The sequence below is a fragment of the Homo sapiens genome, chromosome 2 (genome assembly GCF_000001405.40).
Source record: "Homo sapiens chromosome 2, GRCh38.p14 Primary Assembly".
NCBI lineage: Eukaryota > Metazoa > Chordata > Mammalia > Primates > Hominidae > Homo > Homo sapiens.
This window is the reverse complement of record NC_000002.12, coordinates 100,986,673-101,000,598: the sequence shown is the minus strand read 5'-3', so window position 1 is coordinate 101,000,598 and position 13,926 is coordinate 100,986,673. Positions and strand designations below refer to the sequence as shown.

At 47.3% G+C, this 13,926-nt stretch overlaps 1 protein-coding gene across 20 annotated transcripts in view, besides 2 other annotated features; it reads right to left on the bottom strand.

Moving 5' to 3' along the window:
* Window positions 3,770-13,926, bottom strand: part of NPAS2 (neuronal PAS domain protein 2) — a 178,107-nt gene continuing 167,950 nt past the window's right edge. For 11 of the 20 annotated variants that reach the window (XM_047444506.1, NM_002518.4, XM_047444515.1 and 8 more), the window contains 5 exons: window positions 12,323-12,520; window positions 10,153-10,343; window positions 9,727-9,819; window positions 7,072-7,252; window positions 3,770-5,199 (listed from right to left, as the gene is read on the bottom strand). In XM_047444506.1, the coding sequence (XP_047300462.1) occupies window positions 5,017-5,199; window positions 7,072-7,252; window positions 9,727-9,819; window positions 10,153-10,343; window positions 12,323-12,520 (846 nt within the window). In that variant the 3' untranslated portion in view covers window positions 3,770-5,016. Of the gene's footprint in view, window positions 5,200-6,018; window positions 6,176-7,071; window positions 7,253-9,726; window positions 9,820-10,152; window positions 10,344-12,322; window positions 12,521-13,926 lie in introns of all 20 variants that reach the window. The other 9 variants (XM_047444510.1, XM_047444511.1, XM_005263959.3 and 6 more) reach the window with 4 other exon arrangements.
* Window positions 4,749-5,249: an enhancer, noted in NCBI's record as "H3K4me1 hESC enhancer chr2:101611812-101612312 (GRCh37/hg19 assembly coordinates)". NCBI's record gives its function as "activates a minimal SCP1, AML or CMV promoter by ChIP-STARR-seq in primed H9 embryonic stem cells {active_cell/tissue: H9 hESC(primed)}" and the evidence as "EXISTENCE:reporter gene assay evidence [ECO:0000049][PMID:30033119]".
* Window positions 9,052-9,694: an enhancer, noted in NCBI's record as "H3K4me1 hESC enhancer chr2:101607367-101608009 (GRCh37/hg19 assembly coordinates)". NCBI's record gives its function as "activates a minimal SCP1, AML or CMV promoter by ChIP-STARR-seq in naive H9 embryonic stem cells {active_cell/tissue: H9 hESC(naive)}" and the evidence as "EXISTENCE:reporter gene assay evidence [ECO:0000049][PMID:30033119]".

Below are 13,926 nucleotides of genomic sequence, written 5' to 3'. Positions count from 1 at the left end.
TCTCCTGACCTCGTGATCCGCCCGCCTCGGCCTCCCAAAGTGCTAGGATTACAAGATAGACACGTTGCTTTTAATGCACAGAAGTGGGGTTCTGTTAACAAAGAAGAAGAGGGGCTGGCACAATTTGTTTCAACCAAATGATGCTTGCTCTCATCTCCTTTCTGCCTCCTCTTCCTCATGCTCAGGCACCCTAAAGCCTGCCTCAGGCCTTTCATACCCCATGGCCCTTTTGGGATCATTGTTCTGATCCTGACTCCCTGCAATCACACTCTGAAGATGTGATCTTGCCCCTTCTATCTGGCTCCCAGCACCTAGAGAGGGATTAAGGGACAGCTTTCTAGGGTACCATCCATTAGAGGTAGTAAAAGTGTTACTGTAATAAATCAGAAAGAAGTCTGGTGCCAGCTGACTCAAGTTTCCGTATAACTGACGAAATGTGAGTAGATCCTACCACTTGTTGAAATAAATAGATCCTTCCAGTGGGAATCTACAAAACATCCCCCTAAGATGTCAACTCTCCTGCCTTACATAAAGGTTGAACAGACATATAATAAAGACTGTTAGGTTTGAGGACTGAAAATCATTTGCCTGCCTGGGGCTCTGCAGACTCTTCCAGCTTCTGTTTCCCTCCCACGCCCCAGGGACCAGGCCAGTGACTACTGGGCCTGGAAGAGACCAGAACCATATAATAGGAACTTTGTAACTCTCTGGTGTTTGTTAGCTGGGCTAATCACTCACGTCTTTTTACTTTTACTGATGAGCAGAGAATCCATAAAATGAAACAAGATCTGAATGTTTCCCTGTCGGGGCAGCAAGAAAGTAGACAGGTTGCATTCCTGTCCACCAGCTTTAGGGGCAACAAACCTAAGGGGCTAAAGGAGTCCTCCTTGGCAGTTTCATCCTGGACTGAGCTCCAGGAAGGTCCAATGGGACTTCCCAAGAAGCGCCACCGAAAGATTTTTACAAGGAAAGAGGCGTGGTGGTGAAGAGGTGCTAAAGAGGTAGTATGGGTAGACCAGGCCTGGGAGGTCAGTGTGGAGGCTGTTTCTGTGACCCAGCCTAAATGGGGCCCAAATGAGGCAGCAACTAATGTGACAGAAAGGAGAGGAATGGCACAAGAAGTATTTGAAATTAAAATCAACAGTTCATAACTGACTTCATATGGAATGTCAGTTTAGGAGAAAGTGCTGAACAAAATCACATTAGAAAAGTAGACTACGGTATAATATATATTACATTGCAGAAATCAATGTGATTTCATGACTGAAAATGTTTTCAGCTCCATCACAACAGGATGACCCAATAACAGCAACAGAGGCAGCGCTTGACCCAATACCAGCTCTTAGTCTTACTCTAGGTGTCCAGATTTTAATCTCTTTTTTTTAATTAAAAGGAATCAGGACTCCTTGGAGGGTAGTCGCCTGCATGCTTTGAGAGAGGAAAAATAAAATAAATAAATAAATCAGTATGGGCCTTGATTGTGTTGTTCCCAGAAGGAAATCTGGAATCTGATTTCTGATGGGCAATGCTAAAAAGAGAAAAGAGCCAAACACAGGAGCTGGCTCTCACTGGCCGGGTTGTACCAATTTGAGCATGAAATAAATAACAATGGTCAATTAGAAAAGTTGAGTCCATAAAAGGCCATGAGTTCCTAACTTCATGCTTAAAATAAAACACGAAATATAAAAAAGATAATTGTAATTTTAAAAAGGAATCAATATCATAGATGTGCCTAAGTGTGGTTAGGGAAAAATCCTACGAGAGTTGTTTTGTGTTTCCAGTGAGCTTTTTTTGCCAGAAAAATAAAGCTGTTTGTATGCATAGTGTGAAATTAATGCATGTCTGCCCAAAAAGCTGCTAACAGGTATCTCTAGAGGATCCAAATTAGTTATTTATCTGGGACATTAATGGCAGACTTGGAGACCTTCAGGCTGTACCTACACTAAGTAAAGAGAGAAACCAAAGCAGTCTTGTACCAAAACAAATTTTACCAGATAATTTAGACAAGAGTGTAAAATGTCATGGCTTAGAACAGTTGGCTAGTTCCCCATGTCGCATGCACAAACAACATTTTAAAATTAATGTAATGAATTTTAGTTGAATTAGAGACAGTAAACTGAGTTAGTTGAAAAGATCATAAACTTAGTGTACTTGGGTTCGCGTTTCAGTCATTTCACATGAGCCAAGACTTTATAGTTTTACAAACAGAAAGGTCATGGTTTTTCTGGAAATAGGACAGGGTTGCAAAATAGCCTTTTAATGAGCAAACTTTAATGAATCAAAAGTTTAGGGATTAAACTTCCCATGACGCATGTGGGTTTAAAGAAATATTACACGCGTTTTCTGAGTTTATCCAAATTCTGAACAAGTGTAAGATTTAAGCAAAGCTAAATCAAATTAGTAGCAAGGCACACTCTGCCCTTTTTTAATGACTTCCAGCTAGAAAATCCTAGGACAATAAATATGCTGTCCATTAAAAATCTTGTTCTGCTTAAAAAAATGCTGACAGCAAATTAAATTACAAATTCTATTACAGGCAAATCAGATCTAGAAACCTTTGAATTTATAAAACATTTAAAAATAGTTAATCCAGTTTCACAAAGCATTTTTAAGAAGGGGGTTCATTTCTGGTTCCTTTAAAGAGTTAGTGTTTTAGTACGTGCAAAATATTTTCACTTACCTTTTTCTCAGGAATAGAACAATTGTGTGAGTAATAAAACTTTTTGGATGTATTTATATGGCACCCTCTCATGCCATCCAAAACTGATCCTAGTCATAGAACTGGGAAGAGCCATCCCCATTCTACATGGGAGGAGTAGGAGCAGAGAGCCATAGCAATGCAGCAGGGAAAGGAACTTTGCTCTCTTGGGCCAATGCTTTTGGAAGGGGCATTGCCGTTGCAGTGGTTCTCAACCACAGTACTCCAGGGTACCCTCCTTCAGCCCATGAAGCCTCATGATGGGGTGGCTGTCTGTAGTTGGCAGAAATCTTCTAGATGCTGCGGCTATGCCCCCACCCTCAACGTGGCATATGTGCACACATCTTATATGGAGACACACATACGCTGCCCACATCACTGATATCTAAGTGTTGGTGGCGAAACCCCATGTAATTCCAGGCTGAGTTTAATGATGGGCTATAAATGAATGCTTTGGTGGAGAATGTCTTGGTCACCTCCATGGATTTTACCTGTGTCAAGACTGAGATGTTGGCTGGGTGTGGTGGCTCACACCTGTAATCCTAGCACTTTGGCAGGCCGAGGTGGGCTGATCACTTGAGGTCAGGAGTTCGAGACCAGCCTGGCCAATATGGCGAAACCCCGTCTCTACTAAAAACACAAAAATTAGTGGGGTATGGTGGTGGGTGCCTGTAATCCCAGTTACTCGGGAGGCTGAGGCAGGAGAATCACTTGAACCAGGAGGCACAGTTTACATTGAGCCGAGATTGTGCCACTGCACTCCAGGCTGGGCAAGAGAGAGAGAGACGCTGTCTCAAAACAAACAAACAAAAAAAAGATTGAGATGTTTCCAGAAACTTTTTCTGTTTTGTTTTGCTGTCACTTCTACAGTAAACCATTTGTTTTTCGGGCACAAACTTTAACACAAAGATCAGAACCTGATAGGCCGATGCACATATTGCAGCTCAAAAAGCTGATGGCTTGCTTTCATCTTTTCCGTATCTTTGATTATCCTTCAAACATCTTGAAATTAGAAAAAAAGAATTACTGGTGAAAAGATGTATGCAGGGATGTATAACAAGGGACAGAGGAAATTGTACAAATTTGTTAATTTATTACAAAATTTTCACTCACAGAAAAACACAAGAAAACTTTTATACTTTTATATTTGGGAAAAGGAACTGGTATCTCAGATACAAAATAATTTACACATAAGCCATACAATTTTATTTTATATAGAAATAGGTCATTATTACAACAGCTGTACAATTCACTACGCTTCATCTTATAATTACATAAAATCTTTTCTTTAGAAACATCTCAACATAACAAAACATACAAAAAAAGCAAAGTGCATTTTGAAAAGGAAAATCCAATTCTCAGTATTCTCATGAAGATATGTAGAAAGATGCAGCATTCTCACTCAAAGGGCCAGCATGTGGCAGGGTCTCCTTGGGGACTGCAGTCCCCCAGGCCTGTCTGGCTTGTAAAACCTCTCCCCTCACAGACTTGGAGTTCTCAGCAGAATTCTGGAATGTTGGCTGGCATGATTGTGCTTTGCTTTGAGTCCACCTTTGTAGTTGCAATCAATGAAGTAAACAGGAAATAGTCCAGTGTTTTATTTAGGGGCTAAAAAATCACCACCAGCATGGCCTGGGGTGAAAAGCCTCATCCCATTAGGGTTTAGGCCAGAAAGTGTGAATCTGTAGCTTGGTTAATAACAACCAGCTTCTCTGATTGGTGGGCTGCTGTTGTTACTGTGGTCTCTAAATGAAGCCATGAGACCTTATTATTTTTTTAAAAAAAACAGAAAGTGCCTAAGTTATTTCCTCTGTGTAGCTGTGCAAATTAAAACAAAAACAACCATTTAAAAATAATGAAAAATAATCTCTTTATTCTCTCTCTCCAACAGATCTCTGACCCAGTCCTTCTCCAATACAAAGGAAAGACGATCAAGAGCGTGAAGGCCAGCTAGCGCAGATGGGCGGGCCGCAGGTGGCTAGAGCAACCGGTGTACTCTCGGGGGATGCAGCGAGATGCGCCATCTCTGACGGCAAACCGACCGACGATGCCTACACGGGGCACCTGGTTCCTGTCCAGTATGGCTATAGAGTGTGCCCAAGAACCTCGGAGGCAAGAGAAACACGGTCAGTATTCCTGATCATTTCCACTGCAGCAAGCGCTGCACTCCAGAGATGGTTACCATCCAGGAGTTCTGAAACGTATGCAGTGTGCACAAAAGCCAGGGGTTTAGTTCAGACTCCTCTCCCCATCTCCTGTGGCCACCCCCCTCATCCATTGGTTAAAGCTGATTGTGTCCCGACTTCAGTGCCGGGGCATTATCGGGGCGGCTGCTGGAGGCCTGACGACTCAGACAGACTGCTGACCCTTCGGGGAGGACGTAGGGGCTGGGGCTGTGCTGGGGGTGGTTGGGGGTAGCCCAGGGTCCCTGGCTGTTGTGAGTAGGTGGAGAGAAGTAGCGAGTCCTGCTGCTCACTGTGCAAAGAGGTTGGTGCCTGTACCTAGAAAAAAAAGAACAAAGGGCTTCAGAGGTGGTTCTGATGTCCGCTCCTCAACTGTCTTACAAGGCAGTGCGGGGCATGCTGCAGGTTGAGTTAGACTACAGGGCTGTCTTTCTTGGGGGGTCATGTGGGGAGAGGTGGCTCTGGCAAGACCTGGGGGTGTGGTGGGGATGGGGACTAAGGGAACCTTAGGGTGAATTCTGAAGCTAAGTTCTCCGCCAATAGTGGGGGCACCTTCTGGCCCAATCGACTGAGGCCTGTGGCTATGGCTATGGGGAATGGTTTCGTAAACACGTGCACATGATCTACATGTAGCCACAATGTTTTTGGATGATGGAACCTGAGGCCACATGCAGGTAGTTGACAGGGCAGAATCCAAACACACATACAGTTTGTACACTTTTCACTGCTGGTCCCTGATCCCGTAGCTACCTCCAGATTCACCAGCACCTACTAGGAGCATCTTGATTGGAAGTTTAGAAGCTTTGACTGACCAAAGCCTGACTTTGGAAACTTCAGTCTTATCACCCACTATTCCCTTCCATGAAATCTCCTCCTGCAAGTAACCCAGCACCCCCCTGCTCTCAAAGCTGCCCAGGCACAGCTGCCCTGAACTTTTGCTCAGGCTGTCTGGCTGGAACACTGTCCCTTTATCTTCACCCTCACCCACATTTCGGGCATTTCCTGGACATCAGACTCTGCAGTGGGTGCCTTCTGAGCCCTCCCTCTCCTCAAGTCCCTTCCTCCACAAAGGCTTCCCCACCACAGCACTCCCACTGTTCCCAAATCCGAGCCTGACTGCATTCTGTGCTAACCCACCTCTCTGCACCCCACCCCAAGCCCCTAAGGGCAGTGAGTGGGCCGAAGCGCTCTCTGTATTCATAGCCTGCATCTTGTCTGCAACAGGTGCATGCAAACTTGTCTGTTGCTCATTTCCCATCCAAAATCACTTCTGGGTCTCGAGAACTGACAAGATCTGCAAAGCCAAAGTCTGAGTTGACTCCCACTATGTGTGGGGTCAGGGAGATCTGAAAATTATAGCACAGATGGCTTAGCGGCACTGGAATTAAATTACGTTCTAGAACTTCAAGGACAGCTATCTTCATCACTATCTACAGTACTCAAGAGGTCTCAGCTACTGCTCATTCTCCATGGCTTTGCAGGTGCAGGTGGGGCTGCAGGCCAGGGAGGAAGCCCCCCCAGGACAGGGAAGGGCTGGGGTGAAGAGGGGCACCCTGCACATGGGTGAGGGAAGGCCAGGCCCTTCTGCAGCTTGGCAGACGCAGACGTGTGGCTCCCACGTGAACCTGCGGACCAGTGGCTCTCACCCTCCCTGCTTTTGACATACTTGGCACTTGCTTGAAGTAATTTTTGCCTTCGAAGTAGTGACCACATGTAAATGAGCTCCAAATTTTCCTGGCAAGCCCAATTTCACACATCACTGTATTTATGAAGGCAGGTTAATGGATCTTTAACTAAATGTGATTTAACTTTATGTTTATATAGGACTTTATAAACACACTGAAAAGTCCAACATAGTCATCAATGTTTTTCGACTTTTGCTCTAAAAACTGTGAACATATCAAGATGCAAATCCTTGAGTAGAAACTACTTTTTTAAAAAAGAACCTTTTTAGCACATAACCACATAAGGCATAATAGCCGACTCGTAATTTCATGTACTCTGTAGACATAGACTTCATAAACTTTAAGCATGAAAAACAATCAAATAACAATCTTTCTGGGGCTTACTTCTATACTAGGGATAGAACAACCTTGAAAGCAAGGGAATAAAATATCTCTGAGACTTCGGGTGTGGAGCGTGGCCCGGCTCCCAGGCCTGCACGGGGGCCCCCTGGGCCGTGGCACCCACCTGCAGGTAGTGCTGCGGTGGCTGCTGCCGGGCCTGTGCAGGCTGCAGGGGCGATGGTTGGGAGGCAGGGAAGCTGGGGTGGAGCACCGCCTGCCCCATCAGCAGGACGGGCATCGGGGCGCTGCTGCTGTTGGCGGGGTGTGCGTCTGGATTTTGAAACACGGTCTGGCTCTGGGCGTACCTGTTTCACGTGGGAAGGAGAAAACAGGTCCTTTAAGAAAGCAGTATTGATACGACACCAAAAGCACGAGCAACAAAGAAAAAACAAATAAGTTGGACTTCATAAGAAACTTTTGGCCAGGCGCGGTGGCTCATGCCTGTAATCCCAGCACTTTGGGAGGCCGAGGCAGGCGGATCACAAGGTCAGGAGATCGAGATCAGCCTGGCCAATATGGTGAAACCCCCGTCTCTACTAAAAATATAAATAAAAATTAGCCAGGTGTCATGTTGGGCACCTGTAGTCCCAGCTACTTGGGAGGCTGAGGCAGGAGAATAGCTTGAACCCGGGAGGTGGAGACTGTAGTGAGCCGAGATCACACCACTGCACTCCAGCCTGGGCGACAGAGTGAGACTCCGTCTCAAAGCAAAAAAAAAAAAGAAACTTTTGTCCATCAAAAGACACTATCAACACTATCAACAGAGGGAAAAGGCAGCCCACAGAGTAGGGGAAGATATTTGCACATCACATATCTAATAAGAGACCGATAACAGAATATATAAAGAATGCCTACAACTCCACAACAAGACACCCACACAACCCAATCAAAAAATGGGCATTGGGGCTGACATTTCTCCAAAGAGAACCTGGAAATGGCCAACACACACATGAAAACATACTCAGCATCAGTAGCCATTCCATTAGGGCAAAGCAGATCAAAACCAAAATGAGATGTCCCTTCACACTCATTACAATGGTGATTATCAAAAAACCAGGAAGTAACTTCACATGGCCGGGAGGAGATCGAGAACGAGGGGGAGGGGCTACACACTTTTAAACAAACAGATCTAGGGAGAACTCTATCACAAGAATAGCAAGGGGGAAGTCCCCACCCATGATCAATCACCTCCCACCAGGCCACACCTCCAACACTAGGGATTACAATTCAACAAGAGATTTTGGTGGGGACACAGAGCCGACATTTAACACAGTGGCTGCAGCACTGGACAGTTCCCACCAACAGAGCACTGAAGTTCAAGTGATTCTCCTGCCTCAGCCTCCTGAGTAGCTGGGATTACAGGCACGTGCCACCACACCCGGCTAATTTTTGTATTTTTAGTAGAGATGGGGGTTTCACCATGTTGGCCAGACTGGTCTTGAACTTCTGACCTCAGGTGATCCGCCCGCCTTGGCCTCCCAAAGTGTTGGGATTACAGGCATGAGCCACTGCGCCCAGCCTATTTCCACTTATTTGGATCATTTAGGAAGAACAGGTAAAATCCAGAAGCAAAACCAGCCCACTTCCTCCCACCTAATGATAGACATGAACGGAACTTTACAGATGGCTCCCCACAACCTGCAGGTCCCTCCTTACCCTCCTGTGACCAAAGGGAGGGCCAGAAAGTCTCAGGGGCAGAGGCTGCCTAGAAAGTTATCCTGAGGCATAGGGAGACCCCAGACAGGGCCAACAAGGTGGACTTTGAAGATTCAGGGAGCCCAAGGGGCCCGTGGCCTGGAGTTAGCTGGCCTCCAGCCCCACCATCTGCACTGTGTGGCCTTCGAGAATGTAATCTAACCCCTTTAAAGCCCAGCCTCTTCACTGGTTTAAAAAACAAACAAACAAACAAAAAAAGACCGAGCATGTGCCTACACCCTAGGGTTTTTATCGGGATAAAATTAAATAATGAACATACAGACCCTGACCCTCAGAAAGGCAGTAACCATCTGCCGTTACTCTCTGTCCTGGCTGAAGGAGGGCACAGAAGAAGGACTTCTAGGGAGAGGGGCCTGGGGGTGCCTGCGAGGCTTCTACATGAGGGCATCCCAGGCCTGATCGGCTAGCACTGTCCTGGTTAGTTCTGGACACAAAGTCAACCAGTGTTAACATGAAGGAGATGTCTGTGTGATAGCTCTATTTCTGCCTCATTCCCAAGGGCTAGAAACTGTTTTCCAGCAGCTTTTAAACTATTCCCCGTGTCTCCAGTAACCGTTGTCCCTAGTAATTAAGTAGCTGAGTAAAGCTGCTTCTGGTCCTACCGGTGCTAGTGGAGAGGAGGCTGGGGAAGGCAGAGAGGGGGCTGCTTGTCTGGGAGAGACGGGCCCGAGCACGGTGCCAGAAGCACGGAGCACCAAGTGTGCCTGCGGCATGTCAGCTGGAGCCTGGGGGAGGGTCCTTGGGAAGGGGGATGTCTCCAGGGGTGAGGGCTTTAGAGGGCTTTACAGGTGTAAGGAAGTCGGAAGATGATGGCAAACGGTGGGGTGTGAATTGTTTCATTCAGTGCTGCTGTAAGCATGGAGCGCTGAGTTTTTTCTGCTTAATTGGGACACGGTAGAAGAAAAGCTGAGGGGCAGCGTCCCCTTCACAGCTGTGGGCACACTCAGACCTTGCCTTTAGCGCAAGGCTCATGTGAGTGCTGCTGGCCCAGGCGGGTGAGTCTGGCCAGCCTGGAACCATTCCACCAGCGCTTGCCTCCTGCCTCCCGCCAGGGTCCACGTACTTGACTTGCCGTCCCGTCCTGCTGACTTCCGAGGGCTGCCTTGCGTCACAGGACCCGGGCATCATGGGCTGGATGGGCTGGCTCAGCAACAGCCTTTAAGCAGAGGTGGGGAAATAGGAAACTGATCAGCACCTGAACCACAGACCCACTGGTCGTGGCAGCACTTGCTCAGCCTGGCTGGACCCTTTATGGTTGACTCTAATCCCCACTCTCCTGGCTTCATTCTCTGAGGATGATGGACGCAGCGGGTAACCTCCCCTGGACCTCAGGATCCCAAGCCCTGTCCTCTGCTTCCTTAGCTGAGATCAACTGTGGACACTTTAGAATCTGTCTGAACTCTGCCTCCGTCTAAAGCAGAAAGTAGAGCTGAAATGAATGGGGTAAAATGATGCCTGGGTTATCCTTTAAACAAGGGCAGTCTCGTACCTGAGCTGCCGATCATGGCTGAAGTCTGGGCTGGGCTGGCACTGGCTGGCATCCTGGGAGGTGGAAGCAGGTGTGGTCAGATTCAGACTTGGCGGGAGCGCAGCTGTGGCGCTGCTGAACGGGGACACTAGGCTGCTTCCAGAGCGGCCGCTGCTCTGCATTAGCTGTGAGCTTCTCATTGGCTTTGGACCCTGGAGCATCATTTCAATGAGAAAGGTAAGACTTGGACTCAACCCTGGGCCATCTCTCCAGGAAACCTCCCAGTGTCTCCTCCTTCTACCTACCCTTGCCTTTCCTCTAAATCAGAACCTCCCAACTACTGAATTACTTTGATCTGTGACTGTCTTCCCCATTGGATTGTATTTGAATCCCTTGGGCCTAGGACAGTGCCGGACTCTAGGCAGGCAAGTAGCAAATGTGCCTTGAACTGAACTACTTTCTGCTTCAAATTCTACTGCAGACACATGGCCCTCCTGGCTGTTTCTCCAACTCACCAGGCCTACTCCTGCCCTAGGGCCTTTGCACGAGCTGACTGCTCTGTAGAATGCTCTTCCCCTGACATTGACATGGCTCATTCTTTCACCCCCTCAGGTCTTGACTCAAATATTATCTTCTTCAAAAGGCCTTACCTGGCTACCTCTTTACACCTCCAGCCATTCCTGGCCCTCACCAGCATTCCTGTACCATTGCACATACTATAATTTTCACATGTTCGTCTCTCTCCTCACTTGGAACAGAAATTCTTTTTTCTTTTTTGTTCACTGCTTTCCCTCAGTGCTCAGAATTTAGTGCCTGGCACGCAGGGAGCTGAGTGAAATAATAAATGAGTGAGGAAGTGGGCTTGCACCTGCTTTGGGTTTTCTGTCTATTTCACTGATTGTCCATTCATCCGATAACACAGTGCTCTCATTCTTAGTTTTTACAAAATTTTCCAATATCAGATAGTATAAATCCTTCCTCAGTTTTCTCTTTTCCAAAATTTTCTTAGCTCTTCTCACCTATTTTTCTGATGACCTTTTAAATCAAAAGGCTGTATTTTCAAGCAAAACCCTTACATTTGAAGAAAGATGGCCTAAACACTTCCATATGTGTGTTTATCTGTATTGTACTGCAGGTTATCTAAGTTCCCAGATTCTCTACTGGACTACAGGCTCCTCGAGGCCCAGGACAACTCTTGCTCATCATTGTTCCCCTGGGTCTTGGTGAATTCCAGGAGCTCAGCTGACTTTACCAAAGCCACGAGGGCATGGGAATGTGAGGCTGGAGGAAAGGCTGCCTTCCCATCTGTTATCCTCCAGAAGCCCTGCTCCAGACTTCTGAATTCCATTCCATTTGAGTGCCATTTATCTGCTGGCGATTTTGTCCAATTGCAAGGTCACTGGTGGCTTGGAATAGGTGGAAATGGCTACAAGGGTTTGGCAAAGAGTCTGGGGGGCCTGGAGGAGCAGTGGGGGCCTGGAGGAGCAGGGGGGCCTGGAGGAGCAGGGGGCGCCTGGAGGAACAGGGAGGCCTGGAGGAGCAGGGGGACCTGGAGGAACAGTGGGGGCCTGGAGGGGCAGGGGGCGCCTGGAGGAGCAGAGAGGCCTGGAGGAGCAGTGGGGGCCTGGAGGAGCAGGGGGACCTGGAGGAGCAGGGAGACCTGGAGGAGCAATGGGGGCCTGGAGGAGCAGGGAGACCTGGAGGAGCAGTGGGGGCCTGGAGGAGCAGGGGGCGCCTGGAGGAGCAGGGGGCACCTGGGGCAAGGGACAGTGAACAGCAGTGGCTGCTCATGTGGGTAATGGTTAAAACCAGAGTAGATGGCGGGGACCATGGACGTTGAGTGTTGGGACATTCAGCTGCCAGTGGGTCTCTGGGATGGCCATATCTGCCTCCAACCCTAAGTCAGCATCAAAGGTGAACATTTCAGCCGAGTGATATCTTTAAGCACGAGAGCAAGGGACTGAGGTGGACATTTATAAAACACAGAAGGAAGCCAATACAACTTGGGGTTTCAAAGTGACTTTAACAGAAGAAGGAAAAGAAGGCTCACTCCCAAATCTACCCTCAGTCCATAACGGAACAGGGCAGTAGGCCTCAGTTCACGTAGGCTGCAGGAATCAAGTATGTCCCAAACTGCAAGAGGGTGTCTGCTCTAGAGGCAAGGAGTGAAGCTGGCAAGGAGCACATTTACCTGGGTTGATATCACACTTGATTCTCTGAGCAGGTGCTGGCTTGTGACCTGGGCAGAGGAGATCTGCCCTGGAAGTTGGGGGCCCGCCCCGAGCTGGGGCTGAGTCACTGCAGCTGACCTTTGCTGTAGCTGCTGCTGAGCCTCAGGTCGCTGGGTGCTGCTGAAGCTCAGGGATACAGCTGGCTGCTGCAGGAACATCTGGGAGCAGAATAGAAATGCCTGTGAAGTTGGGGTCATGGGTACCTCACCAGTGTGCACCTCCTTTGCATTCCCTGTGCCAGTAAGAACTTTCTTGCTCTGAGCTGCCTAGAAATAGTTCATTTACTCCACTGGTGGACATGGAGCACCTGTGATGCCCCAAGCTCAGTGTCAGGCACTGGCCACAGAGCCATGGGCTGGAGAGACACTCTCTCTGCCTTCATGAAGGTTACAGGCAAGTGACTGAGGCCTAACAATGTGAAAGCTGTTTAGACCCAGATGTTCTCTAAATAATGTGATGTACTTGTTTAGAGTCGAGGTTGGCTTACCAGCTTCTTCCTAGAAGGGAGAAATACCTGGTGAGTGGAATGCATGATGCAGTCATGATAATATTGCCTCATGATATAGGGGCAGAGGGATGGCTCACCTGTGGCATGGGCCACATTGCCCTCGCAGTAGGACCAGGCTCTGTGTTTGCCCTTGAATCTCTGACCAGTGACTCGTGTCTGTACCCACATTACTGTTGAGAATTTTCAATCCAGTGCTCTCAGCTGAGATGGCAGATCTGTCATTAATTAAGGAACCACATACCCAGGCAGGCCAATAACATGGATATGATCACATAACATTAAGTCCATGCACTTTAAAATTATGTTCAAGTTTTGTAATCATCATGATCATCTCTGTGTTTTGTTACCTAAGGTGTCTCAGAGACATTTAAAAGGCCATGGGATATTAGCTTGGTGGTTTTAATTTGAAAGATTTAAGAGAATTTGAGGTGTTCTTGAGAATCCTGATTTAGTTCAAATAAGTTTGGTGTATTTGATTTAAAACAGTTGTTTACGCTGGGCGCTGTGTCTAACGCCTGTATTACAGCACTTTGGGAGGCCAAGGCGGGCAGATCGCTTGAGGCCAGGAGCTTGAGACCAGCCTAACCAATATGGTGAAACCCTGTCTCTACTAAAAATATAAAAATTAGCTGGGCATGGTGGCGCACGCCTGTAATCCCAGTTATTTGGGAGGCTGAGGCAGGGGAATTGCTTGAACCTGGGAGGCGGAGGTTGCAGTGAGCCAAGATCGTGCCACTGCGCTCCAGCCTGGGCAACAGGGTGAGACTCTGTCTTAAAAATGAATAAATAAATAAAACAGTTGTTTAGGTGCTTAGAAAGATTTTACTTCTTAGCTTTATAAGTCTGCCTTGTTAGGTACATAAAATGCTTGAAAGATTCAGATAAATTAAATGTGTAAATGAATAGTTTTGGTAGATAATGTTGATTATTCACAATCAACCTATCAACTAATTGAACATAAATAAAAATCTAGTTAGAGCATTGCTCTTTTTAGACCAAATTAGTAGATTCATAAATAAAACGGAATCTGTCAGTTGACTCTAAAGTTTTAAGAAA